The sequence below is a fragment of the Homo sapiens genome, chromosome 9 (genome assembly GCF_000001405.40).
Source record: "Homo sapiens chromosome 9, GRCh38.p14 Primary Assembly".
Taxonomy (NCBI): Eukaryota; Metazoa; Chordata; class Mammalia; order Primates; family Hominidae; genus Homo; species Homo sapiens.
The window spans coordinates 108,834,593-108,859,024 of NC_000009.12; the positions used below are offsets into that span (position 1 = coordinate 108,834,593).

The window sequence follows — 24,432 nt, forward strand, 5'->3', positions numbered from 1 at the left end:
TATAGTCTAGATTTTACCTTTTCTCTCAAGATGTGGAGGAATGTGAGGAGCACAGAAGAGCAGCAACTTGTAGAAAGAGACACAGTTCAAATCCCATTTCATGTTGGAACTGGGCATTTCCCAGACTTTTTGAGACTTGGTATCTTCACGTGAAAATGAGAACAATAGTACCTGCCTCCTAGAAATAGTCTCCAGATTAAATGAGATAATATGTGAAGCACTCCCACCTCACAACTATTTTGGTAAGCAAAATTTGTAAGATTCCACGTGTTAAAAATCTCTTCCTGTTTACAGTATTCAGAATGGATTCTGTTTCTTGAACCCAATTCTTATGGATATGGTACAAAGCAGACTTATACCGGCTCTTGTGTTTCCAGATCACTCCTTTACTTTCCATACTCCATAAATGCAATCTAGTCTCCTAGCAATTGGACCAGGCAGCCAAGTGTCTGCTTGCCTTTTGAAATTATTTCCCTGCCTTATTCTCCTTTCTATTTTAAACTTTGTCTGCAGGAAGTAAATGTGGTCAGTAAGATAACCTAATTCCCTAGACAGATGCAACCATGCTTGTGGACCACAACTGCACTGCAATAATATACTGTAGAGAACACAAACTTTTCTAAGTCCACCATAGTGAATGACCTAGATTTTCTTAGATAAAAATCATGTCAGCATATATCAGTTCAGGCAGATTGTTTTGTTTATTTCTGTATGAAATGAGACCAAGCTAGGCATTTGGTTGAATTGTAGGGGAGGTGGCAATCTGAGACCTGGTATGTAGCAACCTGGAGGCAAGGCAGGCCAAAAGCATAGGCAGAATGGGCATGGGGTTGTCTGCTCATTGGAGGATCATAATCTCTACCGTGACTCTCTTTCCTTGCCCCTTAGACCTCGACCTGAGGCTATGAGTTAATTGAGTCTGGGGATGACATGTGTCACCATGAATCACACTGATTCTGTGGAAAAGCATGATCTGAGCCCCAAGCAACAGGAATATAAATGAATCGTCAAATCCCTGGTCATTTATAATTGGGTATGTAAATTACAGCTTCTTGATAATACGAAATAGCCAAGGCCTTTTCATTTGTGAAGTCAGAGTAAAGGGTATGTTACTATATCCAAAGACCTCAAAAATAGTTCAAAGGAGATGGAAGTTTGTTCCTGTCACTAACAATGCTGAGGTCCAGGTTGGTGAATGCTTTTTCTACATGCAGTCACTGATGAACCCAGGTTCCTTCCATCCTGTTGCTGTCACCAAGGGCATTGTCTTTGTCTGCATAGTTAGTGCTAGGCCACAGGCACATTCATATTCAGCTCAAGGGAAGAAGGAAGAGAGCTGCTCCGGGACAAGGAGCTTCTTTACATTGAAGATGACTCAGAAGTTGCATTTAGCACTTCCATGCGTCCCTCACTGGCCTGAACTTAGTCACATGGCCACACTTAGCCGCAAGGGAGACTGGTAATGCAGCCTCCAACTGGGCAGCCATACGCCCAGCTAAAATTTCATTACTGTTGAAGAAGGGGAACGTTTTCCTAGACAACTATCAGTCTCTGCCATGCTCTTCGTCCTGCTTCACGTTCTCCTTCTTGTTCTAGCTGTGAGCCTTTGCCATTCACTAATTTGGGCCTTAGCTGGGGGAAGCCTCCTCAGTGTCATCAGACCTCCTGGTGAGGTGCAATTAGCCATTCAAGCTTCTTGACACTGAAAGAAAAGCTGGGCCCCACAGCTGGTCCTCCAAGATGGTATCAGTTATACCAGTGAAGGAGAAGAAACTCCTGGATGTCAAACTAGGGGAGCTGCCAAGCTGGATACTGATGCAAGATTTCACCCCTAGTGGCATTGCTGGAGCATTTCAAAGAGGTTTCTACTGGTACTACAACAAGTACATCGACGTGAAGAAAGGGTGTCTCAGGGGGTTCCACGGTACTGGCAGCTTACATGCTCTTCAGCTACTGCCTTTCCTACAAGGAGCTCAAGCATGAGCAGCTATGCAAGTACCACTGAAGAGGGGCCTGCACGGACAGCACGCTCTGTCGCCCTGACCACGACCTCCTTTGCCCACACCTGTCCTTGAGGAACGCGATCCTTGCTGAATCTTTTTATATCCTAATGGGAATTAACCTCCACATAAAAGACGACTGGTTAAAAAAGAAAGGAAAAGCTGGGGCCCAAAGAGGGATCCCTGGGAGCTCGGACCAGGGCCAGAGCTCTTCTCAGAGCACAAATCTGGCTGTTTTCTAAAAAGACAGTTTTGATACGTGGAGCCTTTTTCCACAATATTGTAAGAGATGCTGGCTTGGCTGTGACTGGAGGTGACTCACACCTGCTCTTTGTAGAGAGCATAACACTGTTCCTGCAAAAGGAAAGCTCATGCCAGGTCACTGGTACCCGCAGACAAGTCTGTTCCTCTTTAAGAGATTCTTAAAGGATTAAAGAGCACGCAGTGCAAAGGCTTTGGATGTGCTGAGTTGCACGTAGCTGAACTAGAGGCTTCAATAATGTGGACAGAGTGCAAGACCAGAAATTGGAAAATGTTACAGTGGTCTCAGCTCCTCCATTTGTCAGCTATGTGTCCTTGGTCAAGCCACTTCCCAACCATGGGCTTCTGTTTTCTCAATTAAAAAATGTTGACTAAATTGGGTTTATTACTAATCTTTGCGCTTCTACAGATTATTTCTGAAACTCTTATCATGTTCCAATTTCTGCTTGTCCACTGTGATATAATAAAAAATAAATAAACCTCTGGCCTTTGTCCCTGGCTCCTGGTGTACAGCTCCTAAACCCTTAGAATCTTTGGGGTGATGAGAGTTTCTTTTGTATGCTAATGAAAGACTGCTGGTGGGGTCCCCTAGGTAGCTTCAGGATGGGGGCTGGTTGCCAGAAAGACCAAGGATGATCGGAGGTTTGGAAATTCCAGCCTCCCTCTCTACCCTCAGACCTCGAGGGAGAGGAAAGGAGCTAGAGATTGAGCTAATCACCAACAACCATTGATTTAATCAATCATGCTTAAGTGACAAGGCATCCATAAAAACCCTGAAGTGATGGGGTTTGGAGAGCTGGAGGTGGTGACCACACAGAGGCGCTGGAAGGGTGGTACACTCCAATAGGGCACAGAAGCTCCACACCCCTTCCCTATACCTCGCCCTGTGTTCTACCTCTCTCCCATTTGGCTGTTCTTGAGTCATATCCTGTATAATAAGCCAGTAATAGTAAAGCACCTTCCTGATTTTATGAGTCATTATAGCAAATTATCAAACCTGAAGAAGGGGTCACAGGAACCCCCAATTTATAAGCGGTTGGTCAGAAGTGCAGGTGGAAACCTGGGACCTGTAACTACCCTCTGAAGTTGGGTGAGGAGAGCGCAATCACCTGGTGACCACTGAAGAGGCCCCAGAGACAAAAACTCCTCAACTGAGGAATTTAGAAGGAAACGAAGACCACCTGGTGACTATCAGGCAGGCCATCCAGAGGCAAAACTCCGTATCTGGGGAAATGAGAAGTAATTAGACTTCCCTATTATCTAAAGCAGGCACTGGTACCAGGTCTTTCCCCGCCAAAATTTATAAGTAACTAGAATTCCTATACATCTCCGGAATGCTATGCCGAAACTCATTGTGCAACCCTTGCTGACATCAGGGCACAAAAATGTCTACATATGTAAGCATTTATCATGACCTATGTGGCTAACATGGTCCAAATTATCCTTAAGCTCCCACTTTAAGGTCCATAAATGCTCCTAAGGAAAAAATCCACTGTGGCACGCTCAGTCCTCTCACTGAGGCACCAAGTTGCACTCATCTTTTTATGAATTTTATTATTATTTATTTTTGAGATGGAGTCTTGCTCTGTGGCCTAGGCTAGAGTGCAGTGGCACGATCTCAGCTCACTGCAACCTCTGCCTCCTGGGTTCAAGCAATTCTCGTGCCTCAGCCTCCCAAGTTGCTGAGAATTACAGGCGCCCACCACCACACCCAGCTAATTTTTATATTTTTAATAGAGTCGGGGTTTCGCCACACTGGCCAGACTGGTCTCAAACTCCTGACCTCATGTGATCCACCCACCCTGGCCTCCCAAAGTGCTGGGATTACAGGTGTGAGCCACCATGACTGGCCTCCATTGCAGTCTTCTGCGGAGTTTTTTCTAACAGACTTTACTTTTCAAACCTATACTATTGTCAGTAATTCTTCTTACCAACCCACAAGTCCACCACTTCTCAATGCCGGGGCTCTGACGCCTCGCCCAGCATGGGTGACAGTTTTATAGGACTGAGCCCTTCACCTGTGGGGTCTGTGCCAACTCTAAGTACTTAATGTTTGGATTGAATTGAATTGCAGGACACCCAGTTGACGTCTAAAGAGTTGTTAAATTAGTTGGTGTGAAAAATTAAGGGAAATCCCACACATTTGGTGTCAGACATGTTGTGATTAAAAAACGTTCATGTCCATGGCCTCTTCTTATCTCTTTTCAGAACAGTACAGCAGTAACTATACGGAATAGACAGTTTTTCCCTTCTCTCCTCACTGTTTCTCCTGTGTCCATTACCAAATGTGGAAAATCCAAGGACTCCCAAGTGACTCTCCCTTTGTACTTCCTGGGGACCAGGATCCTGGGCTAGTACTTTGGGCCAGGCTCAGCAGGTGTCTAAGGGATTTTAACACAGCGTTGACAAATGGTTCCCACAATCCAAGTTTATGGAGAGACTGAAGTAGACATCAGGCACTGACAGAAATGAAAACTGTGTACAACTGATCATTAGGGATATGAAAATCAAAACCATAATGAGATTCCATCTCACACCAGTGAAAACAACTATTACTAAAAAGTCAAAAAATACAGATGCTGGTGAGGTTGTAAGAAAAGAGAACACTTATACACTGTTAATGGGAGTATAAATTAGTTCAACCATTGTGAAAAGTAGTATGGCAATTCCTCAAAGAGCTAAAAGCAGAACTACCATTTGGCCTAACAATCCCATTACTGGGTATACACCTAGAGAAATATAAATCATTCTACCATAAAGATACATGCACGTGAATGTTCATTGCAGCACTAGTCACAATAGCAAAGGCATGGAACCAACGTAAATGCCCATCAATGACAGATTGGACAAAGAAAATGTGGTACATATACACCTTGGAATACTATGCAGCCATAAAAAAGAATGAGATCATTCCTTTTACAGGCACGTGGATGGAGCTGGAGGCCATCAGCCTTAGCAAACTAACACAGGAACAGAAAGCCAAATACCACATGTTCTCCTAAGTGGGAGCTAAATGACAAGGACTCATGGACGCAAAGAAGGGTACGACAGACACTGGGGTCTACTTGAGGGTGGGAGGAGGGAGAGGAGCAGAAAAAATAACCATTGGGTACTAGGCTTAGTACTTGGGTGACAAAATAATCTGTACAACAAATTCCTGTGACACAAGTTTACCTAGACAAAAAGCCTGCATTTGTACCTCCAAACCTAAAGTAAAAAAAAAAAAAAAAAAAAAAAAAACAAAGAAAAATGTGTGCAATCATTGGAGCAATATTTCTTAAGATTCTATGGACACATTCAAAGCGTGAGTGGAGGCATCCTGAGGCAGAGTCTTGTTTCCAGGGGTGAAAATGAAGAAAGTCATAGATGTCCACAAAAGTCATTCCAGGATGACGAAAGAAATAAAATGCAAATAGGAGCCACTTTTTGCAGGTTCTTACACTAGTTTACCAAAATCTCTAGTTTTTAAGATTTTTAAAAACAATTTCGGCCAGGCACGGTGGCTCACGCCTGTAATCCCAACACTTTGGGAGGCTGAGGCAGGTGGATTGTCTGAGGTCAGGAGTTCAAGACCAGCCTGGCCAACATGGTGAAACCTCATCTCTGCTAAAAATGCAAAAATTAGCCAGGCATGGTGGCAGGCACCTGTAATACCAGCTACTCTGGAGGCTGAGGCAGGAGAATCGCTTGAACCCAGAAGGTGGAGGTTGCAATGAGCTGAGCTAGCACCATTGCACTCCAGCCTGGGCAACAAGAGTGAGACTTCGTCTTTAAAAAAAAAAAAATTCACACTTGGAGAGAAAAACAAAAGTAATAAAAAGGTAGAAAGCAAAAAGTGACTTCTTCCTTCACCCCAGTTCCCTGGTTTCTCAGTTCTCTCCAAGACCTGCCTTCCAGGTCAGCCCACACCCATCCAAGCATATATGCAGGTCCGTAACTTTGTGGGGATTTCATGGTTGCCCTGGGTTTTATGGGATTGCCTTACTAAGTTAAATCAGAGAAAATCAGAGTTGCAAGTAGAGCACTGGCCAGATGGCGACCTCAGCATTCTTTTTCATCTCTCATTCAGTCTTTTGGAAATTTCATAATACATGTCCTTGGCTTTCCTCACATCTAATCTGAAGCTTCCCAGACCTCTACACCTGACTCTGGCCTTTTTTTAGAGCCTGTATTTAATTCCAGCCACATCTCTTCACATAGACTGGGCACTGAGGTACAAACAGAATTGATCACCTTCTCTGAAACCTACTTCTCTTTGCCTTTTCCCAGACTCCAGCTTTTCCCACTCAACCCCATTGGGAATGTCATTCTTCTTTTTCTCCACCTTCTGCCTCATGGCTCTGCTCCTCCAGTTAGTTGAGTCCAGGAATAACTTGAAACTCTGGAATGCTTTTTTTTTTTTGAGACAGGGTCTCACTCTGTTGCCCAGGCTGGAGTGCAGTGGTGCAATCTCGGGTCACTGCAACCTCCACCTCCCGGTTCAAGTGATCTCATGCCTCAGCTTCTGAGTAGCTGGGATAACAGGCATGCAACACCATGCCTAATTTTTTTGTATTTTCAGTAGACAGGGTTTTGCTATGTTGGCCAGGTTGGTCTTGAACTCCTAGGAGGCCTCAAGTGTTCCAGCCACCTCAGCCTCCCTAAGTGTTGGGATTACAGGCATAAGCCACCGTGCCCAGACTCTCTTTTTCACCTTTTTCCACTGCTCTCATTAGTTTTATCATCACCACTCACTCTGTACCAGGCATTCCCCTAAGTGTCTTACGAATGTAGACTCATTTTATCCTCACAACAACCTGACAAGGTTGGTACTATTATTATATCCATTTTATAGATGAGAAAACTGAGACTAAAATAATAAAATCTCCATTCCCTAACTTCCCAGACTCCAATGTGCCTCCTGTACCTAGATCTTCTGTGGCCTCTGCAGCATTCAAGACCCAACTCAGCTGTTAATTCCTCCAGGAAATCTTCCTAGAGTCCCTACTATTATCATAATTTCAGACTTTTAGTCTTTCGTCTCCCATGCAGGGTTGTCAAATAACATACTGCCCCAAAAAGTTGCATGGTTCATATTTACACTGAAAAAATACTTTTTGTTTATTGAAATTCCAATTTAACTGGGCATCATTATCTATATTTGCTAAATCTGACAACCATCCCCACCTAAAACCATAAACAATTTGACAGCAGGGCTTATGCATTTTTACTTTGCACCTGCCCACCCTCAGGGGCTGGCAGAGTGTGGACCAAGTGAGTACTCATTCTGCTCATTGTACCGAATTGAAGTCAGGTGCTTAAAAGAGGTTTCTGGCTGAGGCAGAGAATTGCTTGAACCTGGGAGGCGGAGGTTGCAGTGAGCGAAGACCGTGCCACTGCACTCCGGTCTGGGTGACAGTGTGAGGCTCCGTCTCAAAAAAAAAAAAAAAAGGTTTCCTTTGTCTGCTTTTATCACCCTGCCATAAGGAATAGTCTTCTTAAGTACTCCCAATGCACCAGACACAGTGCTATGTGCACAGCAACTAAATCCAACACAAAACTGAGTTCAGTTTGCCCATCTATAAAAAGAGAATACTGTTAAACACCCACCTAGTAGTCTTTCTTCTGGGATACTTGTGAGAATCAAATGTAAAAAAGGAAGTGCAATGGTGCTTTGTAACTGCAAAGTGCTGCTGTGAAGGATGACTATCACTAACATTGGCAGCTCAAATTTAGCAATAGGGAAATAGACAACCTATATCTAATTCAGTTTTTCAATAGTTTTATATATTGAAAGCTACTGATGGTTTGCTAAGGAATAGCATGGAATTTGGCAATCTAAGAGCCAGGGTGAAGTGAAAGCTCAGATAAGGAGGGAGAAGGAATTGAAAAGATGAGAGGAGCCAGGTGGTCCCTGATAGCCAGGAAGACTGTAACAAGAAGAGCAGAGGGGAAGTATCCGTTGGAGACAGTAGTAGGTACTGCCTAAATACTGCCCTGATAGGTGCCCATGCAGAAACCCCAATCCACAGGGACCCAGGCCGATGCCAGGAAGCTCACACAAGATTGCCAAATGGCTTTCCATGTCATTTTTCATAGTACCTTAATTAGTTCGTTCTCACAGTGCTATAAAGAACTGAGACTGGGTCCTTTATGAAGAAAAGGCTTGACTGACTCACAGTTCCGCAGGCTGTACAGGAAGCACGGCTAGGAGGCCTCAGGAAACTAACAATCACGGTGGAAGGCGAAGGGAAAGCAAGCACGTCTCACCTTAGCGAAGCAGGAGAGAAAAAGCGGTGAGGAAAGCGCCACACGCTTTTAAGCTGTCAGATCTCGTGAGAACTCACTCACTCTCGCGAAAACAGCATGGGGAAAACTGCCCCCATGATCCAGTCACCTCCCACCAGGTCCCTCCACTGACACATGGGGATGATAATTCGAGATGAGATTTGGGAGGGGACACAGAACCAAACCATATCAGTTTGTTTCTTTAAAGAAACTGCCTTCCTTACAAACAAAACAAAACTGAAAATTAGCAGAGTGAGGTTCAGGTTTAGCTAGGGGCATGAGATTATTTTCCCTGCCTGAAACTCCATTGTCATGCTACATATAATGTGGTCCCAGGGTGGCAGCATCTGCCTCACTTGAAAACACGTGAGAAATGCAAAATCAGAATCTACATTTTTGGCAAGATCCTCAGGTGATTCACATAAATATTAAAATTTGAGAATCTTTTCCACCTTCTGAATCCCAGGTGATGTTAGTTCAATTAACATTAAAACTGACTCCTCATGCTCCACACAGTTGGCTAAGATATTGGTTTTCAAACTTGGCTGCACATTGGAATCATCTGAAAACTTAAAACAAATATTAATACCTAGTCCCAGCCTTAGAGATTTTGATTCAAAAGGTCTAAGGTGTGGCTTGGACGTTAGGATATATATTTTTTCCCTGTCTATTTAAGTTTTTTCATGTTGTACAATTCAACATGAGATTTGGGTGGGAAACAGAAAGCCAAACCACATCAGTACCATTTCACCAGTTTAGGAAAATAAAATCAAGAACAGTGAAATGCCTTGTGCAACTTCTTCAAGGCTCAGACATCCTCAAGTTAGGACTGAAACCAGCCATGTCTCTCCAAGACCTGGGCCGGTAGAAAGGTTGCTTCTTGGTTTCAAAAGGAAAAAGAGAATAGGATGCAAAAACATAAAAAAATCCTTTTTTTTTTTTTTTTTTTTGAGGTAGGGTCTAGCTCTGTCACCCAGGCCACAGTGCAGTGGCGTGATCATGGCTCACTGCTGCCTTGACTTCCCAGACTCCAAGGATCCTCCCACCTCAGCCTCCTGAGTAGCTGGGACCACAGGCACATGCCACCACACCCAGCTTATTTTTGTGTTTTTGGTAGAGGTGGGGTTTCACCATGTTGCTCAGGCTGGTCTCAAACTCCTGAGCTCAAGCAATCCTCACCCTGGCCTCCCAAAGTGCTGGAATTACTGGTGTGAGCCACTGCACCCAGCTGCCCACTGACTTTAATTATACCTTCTCCAATCTCTTAAGATTCATTTGGTGAGTTGCTCCTAATTCATTGAGCCAGATTGTTAAGGATTTAACTTAACTGGGAACCAGCAAACCCAAATAAAGTGAATGAAAAAATGTTCTTCAGAGGTGGAAAGATGGTGTGTAGCTAGTTTACGCAAAGCTCTAAATTCTTGGGAGATGATTAGAAAAACTTTGCCAAATGGCCAGTTCTGAGGCTGATCCCGTGCTCCAAATCCCTTTGGGAGGTAGAAGACCTTGAATTACTTGGTCTCTATATAAACACAGCTGGTCAATCAAGTAATTGTCTTAATAATCCAAAAAAGCATCTAGACATTTGATCCAGACATTTCCAGTTGCATATATGGACTTTTAAACATAAAATTGTCTCAGTTTTCTGTTATATTTTGAATAGATCCCTCTTTGACTTTATTTTTACAAATGTTCTAGTAATTTAATTGATTTAATTTATAACAGAAGCACATACAAAGAGAATAGCTTCCTTCTCCTTTACATTGTCATTATTTTCACTTGGTGAAAGCCTGATGCCAGAATCACCTTTTTCCATACTTAATGTGTTTTTAACTACCTTTGTAATCAAACACAGGCATGAAAAGGGATTTAATATTCACTAATGGGATGCCGCAAGTCCTAGCTTGTTCTTATCCCAGGTGGCCTCTCACTTCTTGCTGGGCATAAATTATTTGTGAATCAGGCACTTTCTCATTCTCAACATCCATTTTTCTCTCTTATGCTTAGCTTCATCTGTATTGGCAAAGTGAAGTGCACAATTCAGATGATGACCCAGATAACGCAACCAAAATTGCCCTTACAGGAATTTTATTTACATATTCATTTAAGTCTCTTAGACTTGAAAGCAGGGACTTACTTTTAAATCTAAGTGACCTTGACAACCACCTCTGTTGGGTAAACTATGGCAGATGGAGTTTTGCTGGAACAGAATCTGTACCGCTAAAGCCAAAAGTATTATTATTTATTACCTTTTGTGTGCCTCAGGCTTCTCGTTATAAAATTAGGATCACAACTCCTACACTGCTGAGTTGTTGATGAGATTAAATGAGATACTAAACATGAAAATATCTGCCTACAGCACATACTTAAAAACACACATATTTGTACATATGTACAATATACATTGCCCGTTGATCAGGAGATTTACATTACACTTTACAATTTATAAAACACTTAACCTGCATTTTCTCCTTGATCTGCAAATCAGTGCTGGGAAGTAAGGACAGGTTATAACCAATTTACAAAGAAGAGCCCAAGGCTACAAGAGTTTAAATGGCTTGCCCGAGACCACACAACTCGTCTCCACTGATGTGTACAGCCCCAAAGCTCTCCACGGCCTCCTATGCTGGCTCCTCATGCTCCACACAGTTGGCTAAGATATCGGTTTTCAAACTTGGCTGCAAGTTTCAAACTGGAATCATCTGAAAAACTTATAAATATTAATACCTGGTCCCACCCTTAGACATTTTGATTTAAAAGGTCTAAGCTGTGGCTTGAACATTAGGATATATATTTTTTCCCTATCTATGTATTTAAGTTTTTACTTCGATTTTTTATTATGAGATTATGGTAAATTCACACGCAGTTATATAAGAATTGATATAGAGAGATAATAGGTACCTTTAACCAGTTTCCCCCAGTGGTAACATCTTGCAAAACTATAGCATAATGTCACAATTATGATATTGGCATTCATACAATCAAGAAGAAGTCAACAGTTCACCACTACAAGGGATCCTCCCAATGTTCTTTTTATAGCCATATCTACTTCCCCCTACCCACTCAACCCTAACCCTTGGAACCACTAATCTGTTCTCCATTTCTATAATTTTGTTTTTTCAAAAATGATACATAAATGGAATCACACAGTATGTAACCTTCAGGGATTGACTTTTTTCTAGCAGCATAATTCCCTGGAGATTCATCCAAGTTGTTGCATCTATCTATAGTTTATTCTTCTCCAATCCTCATGGGTGCCTCTCAGTAAGAACTGGAAAACCTGCTTTGTTTTTTGAGACAGGGTCTTGCTCTGTTGCCCAGGCTGGAGTGCAGTGGCACAATCAGAACTCACTGTTGCCTCGAATTCCCGGGCTCGTGTGATCCTCCCACCACAGCCTCCCATGTAGCCAGGACTACAGGCATGGACAACCATTCCTGGCTAATTTTTTAATTTCTTTTTTTTTTAAGAGATGGAGTCTACGTTGCCCAAGCTGGTCTTAAACTCCTGGCCTCAAGCAATCCTCCTGCCTTGACCTCCCAAAGTGCTGAGGTTACAGGAATGAGCCACCGTGTCTGGCCCTGCTAGAAAAATTTGAATCCACTACTGCTTAACCATTCACCCATTGAAAGATATCTGAGTTGTATCTAGTTTCTGGCTGCTATGAACAAAGCTGTTACGAACATTTGTGTACAGGTTTTGTGTGAAGATAGATAAGTTTTCATTTCTCTGGGATAAATTTGCAAATGCAACTTCTGGGTAGTATGGTAGCTGCATGTTTCATTTTTAAAGAAATTGTCAAACTGTTTTCCACATTTTACATTCCCACCAGCAATGTATGAGTGACCCAGTTTCTCCTCATCTTCATCTTCACCAGCTTTGGTGGTTTCTTCTTTTTTTTCCCATTCTGATAGATGGATAGTAAGGTCTCATCATGGTTTTAACTTGCCTTTCCATGGCTAATGATGTTGAACATTCTTTTCATGTGCTTATCTGCCAACTACATATCTTTTTTGGTGAAATGTCTGTCATGTCTTATGTTCATTTTTTTAATTGGATTTTTTAAACTGTTAGTTTTGAGGGGTCTTTAAAAATTCTATATACTTGTCCTTTGCTGGATATAGTTAACATATGTAGTTTAAACATATGTAGTTTACAAGTGTTTTCACTCAGTCTGTAGATTTTTTTTTTTAGCTTCTTTTTTTTTTTTTTTTTTTTTGAGACAGAGTTCCACTCTTGTTTCCCAGGCTGGAGTGCTCACTGCAACCTCTGCCTCCTGGGTTCAAGTGATTCTCCTACCTCAGCCTCCCCAGTAGCTGGGATTACAGGCATGCACCACCATGCCCAGCTAATTTTGTATTTTTAGTAGAGATGGAGTTTCTCCATGTTGGCCAGGCTGGTCTCAAACTCCTGACCTCAGGTGATCCGCCCGCCTCAGCCTCCCAAACTGTTGGGATTACAGGCGTGAGCCACCATGCCCGGCCTCTGTAGATTGTCTTTCTTTTTTTTTTTTTTTTTTAGTTTCATTTAAGAAAATTAATAGACTTTAGTACTAGTCCGTTTTCAAGCTGCTGATAAAGACATCCCCAAGAGTGGGCAATTTACAAAAGAAAGAGGTTTAACTGGACTTACAGTTCCATGTGGCTGGGGAAGGTCTCACAATCATGGCAGAGAATGAAAGGCACTTCTCACATGGCAGTGGCAAGAGAGAATGAGGAAGAAGCAAAAGCAGAAACCCCTGATAAATCCATCAGATCTCGTGAGATTTATTCACTATCACGAGAATAGTATGGGAAAGACCAGCCCCCATGATTCAGTTACCTCCCCCTGGGTCTGTCCCACAACACATGGGAATTCTGTGAGATACAATTCAAATTGAGATTTTGGTGGGTACCCAGCCAAACCATATCATTCCATCCCTGGCCCCTCCACATCTCATGTCCTCACATTTCAAAACCAGTCATGCCTTCCCAACAGTCCCCCAAAATCTTAACTCATTTCACCATTAACCCTAATGTCCACAGTCCAAAGTCTCACCTGAAACAAGGCAAGTCCCTTCCACCTATGAACCTGTAAAATCAAAAGCGAACTAGTTACTTCCTAGATACAATGGGTGTATAAGTACTAGGTAAATACAGCTGTTCCAAATGGGAGAAATTGGCCAAAACAAAGGGGTTACAGGGCCCATGCAAGTCTGAAATCCAGCAGGTCAGTCAAATTTTAAAGCTCCAAAATGATCTCCTTTGACTCCGGGTCTCATATCCATTGTGTGCTGATGCAAGAGGTGGGTTCCCACGGTCTTGGGCGGCTCCATCCCTGTGGCTTTGCAGGGTACAGCCTCCCGTCCGGCTGCTTTCACAGGCTGTTGTTGAGTGTCTGCAGCTTTTCCAGGTGCGCAGTGCAAGCCGTTGATGGATCTACCATTCTGGGGTCTGGAGGACAGTGGCCCTTTTCTCACAGCTACACTAGGCAGTGCCCCAGAAGGGACTCTCTGTGGGGGCTCTGACCTGACATTTCCTTTCTGCACTGCCCTAGCAGAGCTTCTCCATGAAGGCCCTGCACGTGCAGCAAACTTCTGCCTGGGCATCCAGGCGTTTCCATACATCTTCTGAAATCTAGGTGGAGGCTCCCAAACCTCAATTCTTGACTTCTGTGCACCCACAGGCTTAACACCACATGGAAGCTGCCAAGGCTTGGGGCTTCCATCCTCTGAAGCCACAGCCCAAGCTGCACATCAGCACCTTTCAGCCACAGCTGGAGTGGCTGGAACACAGGACACCAAGTCCCTAGACTGCACACAGCATGGGGACCCTGGGCCTAGCCCACAAAACCACTTTTTCTTCCTGGGCCTCTGGGCCTGTGATGGGAGTGGCTGCCAGGAAGTTCTCTGACATGGCCTGGAGACATTTTCCCCATGGTCTGGGGGATTCACATTAGGCTCCTTGCTATTTATGCAAGTTTCTGCAGCCAGCTTGAATTTGTTCCCAGAAAATGGGTTTTTCTTTACTATTGCCTAGTCAGGCTGCAAATTTTTAAAGTTTTATGCTCTGCCTCCCCTATAAAACTGAATGCCAGCTGGGCGTGGCGGCTTATGTCTGTAATCCCAGCACTTTGGGAGGCCAAGGTGGGTGGATCATGAAGTCAGGAGTTCGAGAACAGCCTGGCCAATGTGGTGAAACCCCGTCTCTACTAAAAATACAAAAATTAGCTGGCACATACCTATAGTCCCAGCTGCTCGGGAAGCTGAGGCAGGAGAATCGCTTGAACCCGGGAGGCAGAGGTTGCAGTGAGCCAAGATAGCGCCACTGCACTCCAGCCTGGGCGGCAGAGCAAGACTCTGTCTCAAACAACAACAACAACAACAAACTGAATGTCTTTAACAGCACCCAAGTTAGCTGTTGAATGCTTTGCTGCTTAGAAATTTCTTTCACCAGATACCCTAAATCATCTCTCTCAAGTTCAAAGTTCCACAAATCTCTAGAGCAGGGGCAAAATGCCACCAGTCTTTTTGCTAAAACATAACAAGAGTCACCTTTGCTCCACTTCCCAACAAGTTCCTCATCTCCATCTGAGCCTGCCTCAGCCTGGATTTTATTGTTCGTATTGCTATCAGCATTTTGGGCAAAGCCACTTAACAAGTCTCTAGGAAGTCCCAAACTTTCCCACATTTTCCTGTCTTCTTCTGAGCCCTCCAAACTGTTCCAATCTCTGCCTGTTACCGAGTTCTGAAGTTGCTTCCACATTTTTGGGTATCTTTTCAGCAATTTACTGTATTAGTCCGTTTTCATGCTGCTGATAAAGACATATCTGAGACTGGACAATTTACATAGGAAAGAGGTTTAACTGGACTTAGAGTTCCACGTGGCTGGGATTACAGGCGTGAGCCACTGTGCCTGGGCTATAAAGTTAATTTCTTAGAAAGACCTTGGGGCCAGGCGCAGTGGCCCATGCCTGTAACCCCAGAAATTTTGGAGGCCAAGGCGGGCAGATCACCTGAGGTCAGGAGTTCAAGACCAGCCTGGCCAACATGGTGAAACCCCATCTCTTCTAAAAATACAAAAATTAGCTGGGCATGGTGGGTGCCTGTAATCCCAGCTACTCAGGAGGCTGAGGCAGGAGAATTGCTTGAACCAGGGAGGCGGAGGTTGTATGAGCTGAGACTGCACCATCACACTCCATCCTGGGCGACAAGAGCGAAACTCCATCTCAAAAGAAAAAAAAAAGAGAAAAGAAAAAGAAAAAGACCTTGGGCAAATAACTCTTACAGCAAACTTAGTAACAAACATTTGAGGGAGAGAGATCAGACTGCCTGGACAGTGAGGAAAACAAGCCTCTTGCCATGTGGAAGTGGTAGGACTTCACCACTTGATGTCACTCTAATGCTTATGTCTCTGGAAGGTTCCAGCAAGACAAATCTCTTCTTTGCTAAAAGATTGGCATTTTTAACTTTGAAACCTCAGGATAATGACTATGAAATTACATCAAATTTGTTGTACATGATTTGAAAGCAATTTTTATATGTAAATTTTTCTTCTTGGAAAAGAGATTGATAATTTTCAGAAAAGTAGGAGACAAGGGCAAAAAGGCATTGTGGAATCTCAAAACTTCGATTTAGCACAAGACTTTGGTTTACCAGATGGGTGACCTTGCACAAGACTCCTAACCTTTCCAAGCCTCAGTGTCCTCACCTGTAAAATGGGGGGAAATACTGTAATGTCCACCTCACAGACTGGGAATAAATGAGTTCATTTGGCATGTACTAAGCACCAACTCTGTGCCATGCTCTGCACCAGACTCTGAGAAAACTAAAATGAGGGAAGCACAGTTCCTGCCCTCAAGAAGCTCTGAGTCTAGCCTTAGGGACAAATATCTAAGAAGTGAATATATAAGATAGCAGTCAACAGACACTCTTTGGTCTCTGCCTTCAGTGTAGTATGTTATCTGATATCCTCTGGTACCTTGATAAAAATTATTCTTATGTAGTTTCTTCGTAAGGAAAAAATGAATTGTTGGTCTTAATATTTCAATTAAAAGAGGCCTCTCCAACCCCAGTCTCTTCTCCATGCAAACCTGCTCCAGAGGAATGCTGTTGTTGAGAAGGAAATTGACGCAGCTAGAATGCTCTCAGTTGCAAGTAACAGACACACAACCCTAAGGCACATGAATGATGAAGTTGAATGCATGGCTCACAGAACTGAAATACCTGGGAGTGGGTTCAAACTCTAGGCATGGTTTGATTCAGAGGTTCACTTCGTCCCCAGGGCACCAGCTTTGTTTCTCTGAGCTCCACAATCCTTGGTGGGTCAGCTTCAAGCTGGCTTCTTTCCTAGTCATAAATGCCACAGCAGTGCTAGGACACACCCCTCAACTTCACATCAAGCTTCCAAGCAAAAAGCGTAGGATTCACTCTCCAGGACTCACTCTACTGAGATCGCATGTTCACCCAGAACCAATCATTATGGCCAAGGAGATGGATGCTCCGACTGGCTGAGCCTAAATCACATGCTCTGCCCTCGGTGCTGGAAGGGAAGTCAGTCCTGGGCCACGTCCGATGCCCATGCAGAAACCAGGAGTTGTGGAAAGTGATAACAGGAAAGTTGGAGGCATCAACTATTCTACCTCGGGAATATGAGCTAGTCCCAAGTGTGATTCCTGGTCTGGAGAAGGGACAAGGGGGTGCAGGTGAGGCTCCTTGTCTGTTCTTCACATGCTTCCCTCCTCCTTTTTCTATACCAGCACCACTTTTAGAGAGAGAATTCAACTTCTTTCTTCCTAAGAAACATACCTGTAGAGGCAGCCAGTGTTCTTACCCCTCTCTCTACCTGTGAGCATGGAAAGCCACAATTCTTCAGATAGAGACCACGGGCACCACCCCTCCTCAGCCCGTTCCCACTCTCACATGCTTCACTGCTATGTCTTTCCTGTCTGGCATTTCCAAGTTGCAAATTCCTGCCCATTCTGCAGGACAGGAAATTCCTACCCTTGCTTCTTTCCTTGGTTCCCACCTCCACTCTCTTTCTTCCAGAATCAGGTAGAAATCTCTAGTCCCTGTAGTTCCCCTACCATTCTCTTTATTTGCACTGAGCTTATGCATTTATATTCTCTACTATGACTCCATGGAATCTGAGAAGGGAGGGGAGATAAACACACAGGGTCAGGAGGTCATCTTAAGCTGGAAGTCACTGACCCGTGTTTTTCCACCAAAAATAAATCTCCTGCTGAATCCTCTGGTTAGCTTAAATAAGTTCATGTCAGGGATCTAGCAATTAGTGTTTTTACAGCCCCTGCCACATGAGGGATGCTTTTGAGGAGATGACCATGTGTTGGAGGGACTGAAGCAGTGACTAGAGACAGGAGAAGTTGCTGAAGATGTGTGGAGTGAGGAGAGGAGATAAGGAGGGAATGGGGTTCACACGTAGCACTTACTGCGTGTGTGATTTGGGATATATCACTTTCCCTCTATAAGCCTCAGCTTCCCTCTCTGTATTTCATCAGGCTTTTTACAATCACTTGGGTTACAAGCAACAGAAACTAATGCTAAGGAAGAAGTTGTGTTGAAGCAGCAAATATATATGAAGACATCAGTGTGGCAGGGACGTTGGCAACCTCGAAAATGCAGCCCCACAGAAAAAAATTCACATTCAAGAAAACACTTGTACACTGTGATGGCCACATGAAACATGTCTATTGGCCACCTTCAGCCTCCAGGCCTCCAGTCTGCAACATCCCTCTATAGGAAAGAGCCCAGGTTCCATGCCTGCTGCCAACGCCCTGTTTGACCAGGGGTATTCAAACTCCAGGCTAGATGCCCAATTCTGGACAATGGGGAAGGACTAAAGAGCAGGGCCTTAGGTGATAATGACTATGTCTGGTTCTTGCCCAAGTCTGCAGCCCCCAGCACTGGGCCCAGGACAGAGGCAGCCTCATGGGGTGCCCCAAATCAGGACCCTTTGCTTAAGGTAAGAGGTGACTCAGGGATATTTAAGTCTCAGCCCATCCAAGACTATGCAGCTCATGGATGTCTGATCCCATAGATGGCACCAACTGGGTCATGAACTCCATTGGAAGGTGAGGGTAGGGAAGGGGGCAGGAACCCACTCTTCTAAGTAGGCAGTTAGTCACCAGCTGAAATCTCACAAGCCTCCACAGCCTCTCCCTCAGCCCCAAAGCCAATAAGTGGACACCATGCCCAGCAACTTCTCCACTTACAACATTCCAATGCATCACCACTACCTTCTCACCACCGTGAACACTTAGCTCAGACCTTGACTCCCTACCAATGTGGTTGTCCATTAGCTGTGTGTGATTGCCAAGGGTAGAGACTGTGTTCTGCTCATTTCTCAGTCCCCAGCACTGGGCCTGACCCACAGTACATGCATGGTAAGTGCTTTGGGTTGCTGACTAACCATTAAGAACCATGTTTATACCCTTATGGGAATAATCCTGATGTGGATCAGGAGACCTGGGCTCAACCACTGGCATTAAGCTGGCTCTCTCCTCTCTGGTCTCAGTTTACCTATCTCTCTTTTTTTTTTTTCTTTTTGGACATGGAGTCTTGCTCTGTTGCTCAGGCTGTAGTGCAATGACGCAACCTCAGCTCACTGCAACCTCCGCCTCCTGGGGTCAAATGATTCTCCCTGCTCAGCCTCCTGGGGAAGCTGGGATTACAGGTACCCACCACCATGTCCAGCTAATTTTTGTATTTTTAGTAGAGACAGGGTTTCACCATGTTAGCCAGGCTGGTCTCGAACTCCTGACCTTAGGTGATCCACCTGCCTCGGGTTCCCAGAGTGCTGGGATTACAGGTGTGAGCCACCGCACCCAGCCCAGTTTCCCCATCTCTATAGCCGGGAGAGGACCCGATTTCTAAAGGACCTTCTGGTTCCTCTGACATCCTCTGGAATCAGTGGCTCTGCTTTGTGACTCTGGAAAAATAGCTGCAATTTTGGCTGTGGTTGAAAGGGGTACGCCCACAGATGGGTTGAAATGGCACTTCACACTCTGGAGATGCACTGGCACAGCCTTAGGCTCCCATATTGAGGGTGGCAGGCACTAGGGGGAGGTTAGGGAACCTGGAGTGATCAGGCAGTGTTAAGGTTGGGAGCACTTGTGAACAGCAGAAACAGGAGACTGGAGTCGGACACCCAGCTGTGCATCTCCTCCAACCTACCGCTAGGTGACCCAAGCTAGTCCCTTCATCAGAGCCAACCCCCTTAGTTGAGCCAGCGATGAGGAGTGTCTTTGGATCAGGTTTTGAACCTGGAGGTACTAATAAAACAGGAGGCCACTTTCTAGGCCCTGAGATGATGTCACTATCATGAGGCAGGCAGAGGGGGTGGGATCAGTATGGTAGCCCCCTTCCTTACAGCCCCCACCTCCAGTGCAAAAGGTGCTGCCGCTTCTAAGCCCGACTCCCCCCTACCCTCTGCTATCAGATAGAAGCAAGAAACCCAGACTAGACAAGAGCCATTTCAGAGTAAACCTTTATGTGAAATTCTGTAAATGTGTATAGAGAGGCCTGTGGCCATCTGTGCTGGAGGCCTTGTCTGTGGAAATGCCGAGGCTCAGCACTTGCTGTAGATGGCCACGCTGCCCCGCTCCTCAAACTCTTCCTTGCTGACCCAGAGCTGTTGGAAGGCCTGCAGGGAGGCCAGGATGGAACCGCCGGTCCACACGGAGGTCTTCCTCTCAGGAGCGGCAGCCACTGCAGGGCTGTCCCCGGGGCAGAGGAGGCTCAGCTCCCTCTGGAAGCGCTCGGGGAAGCCATCCAGCATAGTGCAGCCGCCACACAGTAGCACGTTGGCGGCCATCTCCTCCTTGAAGCCCGTGTCCTGGCAGCGGCCCAGGCAGGCAGCTGTGAGCTCCGGGAGGCCCGGCTGGGTGCTGCCTGCCAGGGAGGGCTGGAAGAGCATCTCAGAGCAACGGAAGCGCTCCTGGCCAATAGTGATGAGTTTGCCGTCCGGGAGCTCGTAGTCCACGCGCAGCTCCTCCGGGACCAGGCCCAGCTCCTCCTCGGGCAGGAAGGCCGCATAGCAGCACTTCTTCTTGATGTGCTCTATGATGTGCAGGTGGTCGTCCGTGAATGCGTGGCCCGCCTCATTGAGCAGCTGCATCAGGTAGTTGGTGAGGTCACCCCCAGCGTAGTCGGCGCGGCTGGTCAGGCCCGGCAGCACGTCGCCCTCGGATATGGGCACCACGTGCGAGACGCCGTGCCCGCTCTCCACCACCAGCCCCGAGGTCTTGCCGTAGGAGTAGATGGACAGCAACGACTGGGACGTCACGTGCATGGCTGGGATGCCGAAGGTCTCAAACATGAGCTCCGCGTACTTCTCCCGGTTGCTGCTGGGGCTGAGCGGAGGGTCGGAGACCAGCACAGCGTGCTCCTCGGGGAGGATCTTCATGGCGGTGCGGAAGATGTACTCCCAGATGTCCTGCACGCAGTCCCAGTCCACCACGATGCCGTGCTTCAGCGGGTTCACCAGCTTGAGAGGCGCCTCCGTGTTGAGCAGCTCATGGCCCACTAAAGTCCACTTGCGGGTGTCGCCAGCGTCGGCCGCCTCGGGGCAGCGTTTGCCCACGGTGGAGGAGATGAAGTAGGTGGGCCTCGGCTCTCCCGCGTAGCCGCACTTGCAGTACTGGGAGCCCAGGTCGATGATGACCGCCTTGATCTTGTGCACCTTCCTGGGCTTCATCTTGAGCTGAGTGGCCGCACCTGTGTCCCGGAGGCTGGCGTCAGGGCCGGGCCGTGTTCCTGCCTCTCCAGGGTCACCCTGAGCCGTGCCCAGGGGCATGGGGCTGTTCCTTGTCGCCATCTGCCTCCCTTGCTCCCCTTCTCACATCCACAGCCTAGAGCCCCCTGGGGAGAAATGAGATCCCCCACCTCCAGCAGTGCCATGACAACCACCCGGGATTGTGATGTCACTCGGGGCTGGTCCATTCAGGCAGCAGGGGAGGGCCTGGCTTTGGTCGGTTCTTGGTGTGTCACCCCCACCTCTCTAACTCAAGTTTGCTCCCGGACAGAGCAGGTGGCCGGCAGTTTTAGAAATCCAAGCACACTAGGGTCTCAGAGGTTTCTGCTCAGCCCCCTTGCATTTCCATGCCTAACCTGTTCACTACTGGACACCTTTCCTCTTCTGCTTCTTGGTGGAGAGGGCCTATTTGAGCCCCTCCAGTAAGGCAGGCACTGTACTAGTTACTTCACTTATGTTGTTCTGCAGGTAGGCAGAGCTGAGGAAATGAGGCTCAGAATTCTAAGGACTTGCCCAAGAGCAAACAGCACTTGGGGTGTTTGTACCTTAACCCAAATTCATCAAACTCCAATGCACCAGGCCTCCTTAACCGCCCCAAGAGTTCTTTCCTCCCTTCACTCCACATTTACTGGAGTATATAGTAGGTCCCGCCCAGTGCAGCCTGCCAGTGATAGATGATTAAAAACCCAGGCCACCAGCAGTGCCCAGTCTAGACAAGAAAATGGAATGGGTGCCGATGGGTTTGCAGGAAGAAGTCTACTTGGAGAACTCATTTGAGACAGGCAGTCAGAAGGTGCTCTAGAGAGGAGGTGATGCTTAAGTTGAATCCTGGAAGAGGTGTAGGTATTTGTCAAGTAGTTAAGAGGAGGGGAAGACATCCCAGGCAGAGAGCACAGCTTGAGCAAAGGCTCAAATGGAGGCACGGTGAAGAACTTCCCACAGTCAAAGTGTTTGGAAAAACAGATGAAGCTAGAGAAGTCACAGAGCCAAATAGAAAGGGCATCAAATGGCAGGAGTAGGTTTAGACTAAACTGAGGAGAGCCAGGGAAGCTATGAAGACTTTAAGCAGGGGAATGATCAGATTTGCCCTCTAGAAAAATGTTAGAAAGGGCCGGGCGTGGTGGCTCATGCCTGTAATCCCACCAGCACTTTGGGAGGCTGAGGCAGGTGGATCATGAGGTCAGGAGTTCAAGACCAGCCTGGCCAAGATGGTGAAACCCCATCTCTACTAAAAATACAAAAATTAGCTGGGCATGGTGGCGGGTGCCTGTAATCCCAGCTACTTGGGGGGCTGAGGCAGAGAATTGCTTCAACCTGGGAGGCAAAGGTTGCAGTGAGCTGAGATCGCACCACTGCACTCCAGCCTGGGAGACAGAGTGAGACTCCATCTCAAAAAAAAAGAAAAGAAAAATAAAAATGTTAGAAAGATCTGCATTGGGCTGTAATGTAGAGAATGGATGGGAGGGGCAAGACTAGAAACTGAGACCCGAAACGAGGCCATTGGAGAACTTCTGATAAGACTTGAAGGTGGCCTGACCTAGGGCTGTGAGAGTGTGGAAACAAGGAAGAGCCTAGTTCTAGAGAAACTTAGAAAGTAGAATAGAATCCAATCTGTTTTTTCCCCAACCATCCCTCACTTTAATCCAAGCTCTTACTCTGACATTTCAGGGCTTCCCTCATGGGCTCCTGTGATGTGGGATGTGAGGCAGAGGGAAGGATGAATCGCTTACTTGTACCCGGGCAAAGAAAGATGGCCTGTCATCCAGAAAGGACAAATTCACGAGAGTGCCAGAGGGACCTGCAACTTAAGCTGCCCCCTCCCACTCCAAAAATCAAAAAGGCAGTTTAGGGCTTTGGTGGTGAAGAGTCAACAGAAAAAGGGGAAGAGCGGCAACTGGGCCTGAGGAAGTTTTCTGGGAGAATTAAGATGAGCAGAGGTGCCTGAGGAATTGATTAGGCAACATGCATGGGGGAAAAAGAGTTAAGAAATACTGCCATGGAGCATGTAAGAATGCTAATGAGGAATGTGTGGGGATTTTTGTTTGCCAAATTTTTGTTTGTTTGTTTGTTTCTGAGACAGAGTTTCGCTCTTTCGCCCAGTCTGGAGTGCAGTGGCGCGATCTCAGCTCACTGCAACCTCCGCCTTCCAGTTTCAAGCGATTCTCCTGCCTCAGCCTCCCCAGTAGCTGGGATTACAGGCACCTGCTACCACGCCTGGCTAATTTTTGTATTTTTGGTAGAGACGGGGTTTCACCATGTTGGCCAGGCTGACATTGAACTCCTGATCTCGTGATCCGCCCGCCTTGGCCTCCCAAAGTGCTGGGATTACAGGTGTGAGCCACCATGCCCAGCCCGCTGAATTGTTTCTTGGAACATGGCAGCATTCAACTATATTATTTGGGTAACAACTTTCTAAGGGTTATAATTATGAACATCATGACCCAGAAATGCCCTGTGGTGGGATCATGAAATCACAGAAGCTGAGGATTGGACCCTTCAGTTCCTTCTAGAACATTCCATCCAGTAGTCTGACATGGACAGCTCACCCTATTTTGGCCAGCCATGAGTGATAAACGTTTCGTCACACTGGATTGGCATGTGTACCTCTCTGAAGCCATTAAATGGTCTTGGGTCTACTCTTGAAGTTCTACGGGGCAAGCAAATTCTTCCACGACAACTCTTAGGCTATTTAAAGGCAGTATTCATGGACTGCCAGAGCCTACTTTTTATCCATTCCTTACAGAAAGGCAGTACAGAGCAGATGGAAGACTGAGGAACTGGATTCCGAAGACCTGGGTTCAAACATAGACTTATTATTTATAATCTGTATGACTTTGGGTAAACTACTTGAAATGTTGTTTGAATGTGATTACCATTTTGCTATGTCCCCTCGTCAACTTGACCCCTACCCACAGCCTCCAGGTCTCTGCCTTGAGCTGCTAAGTGGATGATGGTGACACACACACATACACACACACACACACACACACACACACACACTCACATTTGGGGTCTGCTGACTTAGAGATGCCCAAAGGTCACTAGGCTGTGGGACACTGGGCTGGAGCACATGGAAAGGGAAGCATCCGGATCCACATTTGCATGCTCAGTAGCACATCTGCCCCTGAAGACAGCTCCTCTCCCTTCCACCTCGGGG

At 46.1% G+C, this 24,432-nt stretch overlaps 1 protein-coding gene and 1 pseudogene across 1 annotated transcript; one reads left to right on the plus strand and one right to left on the minus strand.

Annotated features, from left to right (window-relative positions):
- On the plus strand, window positions 1,741–2,002 carry LOC100288416 (ATP synthase membrane subunit f pseudogene; annotated as a pseudogene).
- Window positions 19,996–21,394, minus strand: ACTL7B (actin like 7B). The gene has a single exon (NM_006686.4). It carries the CDS (start codon window positions 21,336–21,338, stop codon window positions 20,091–20,093), a length of 1,248 nt encoding a protein of 415 aa, NP_006677.1. The 5' UTR covers window positions 21,339–21,394; the 3' UTR covers window positions 19,996–20,090.
- Window positions 21,395–24,432: the final 3,038 nt, after the last annotated feature.

Excerpts from the sequence above, each read along its gene's own strand:
- ACTL7B (NM_006686.4), bottom strand. The coding sequence starts at position 21,338 with ATGGCGACAAGGAACAGCCCCATGCCCCTGGGCACGGCTCAGGGTGAC.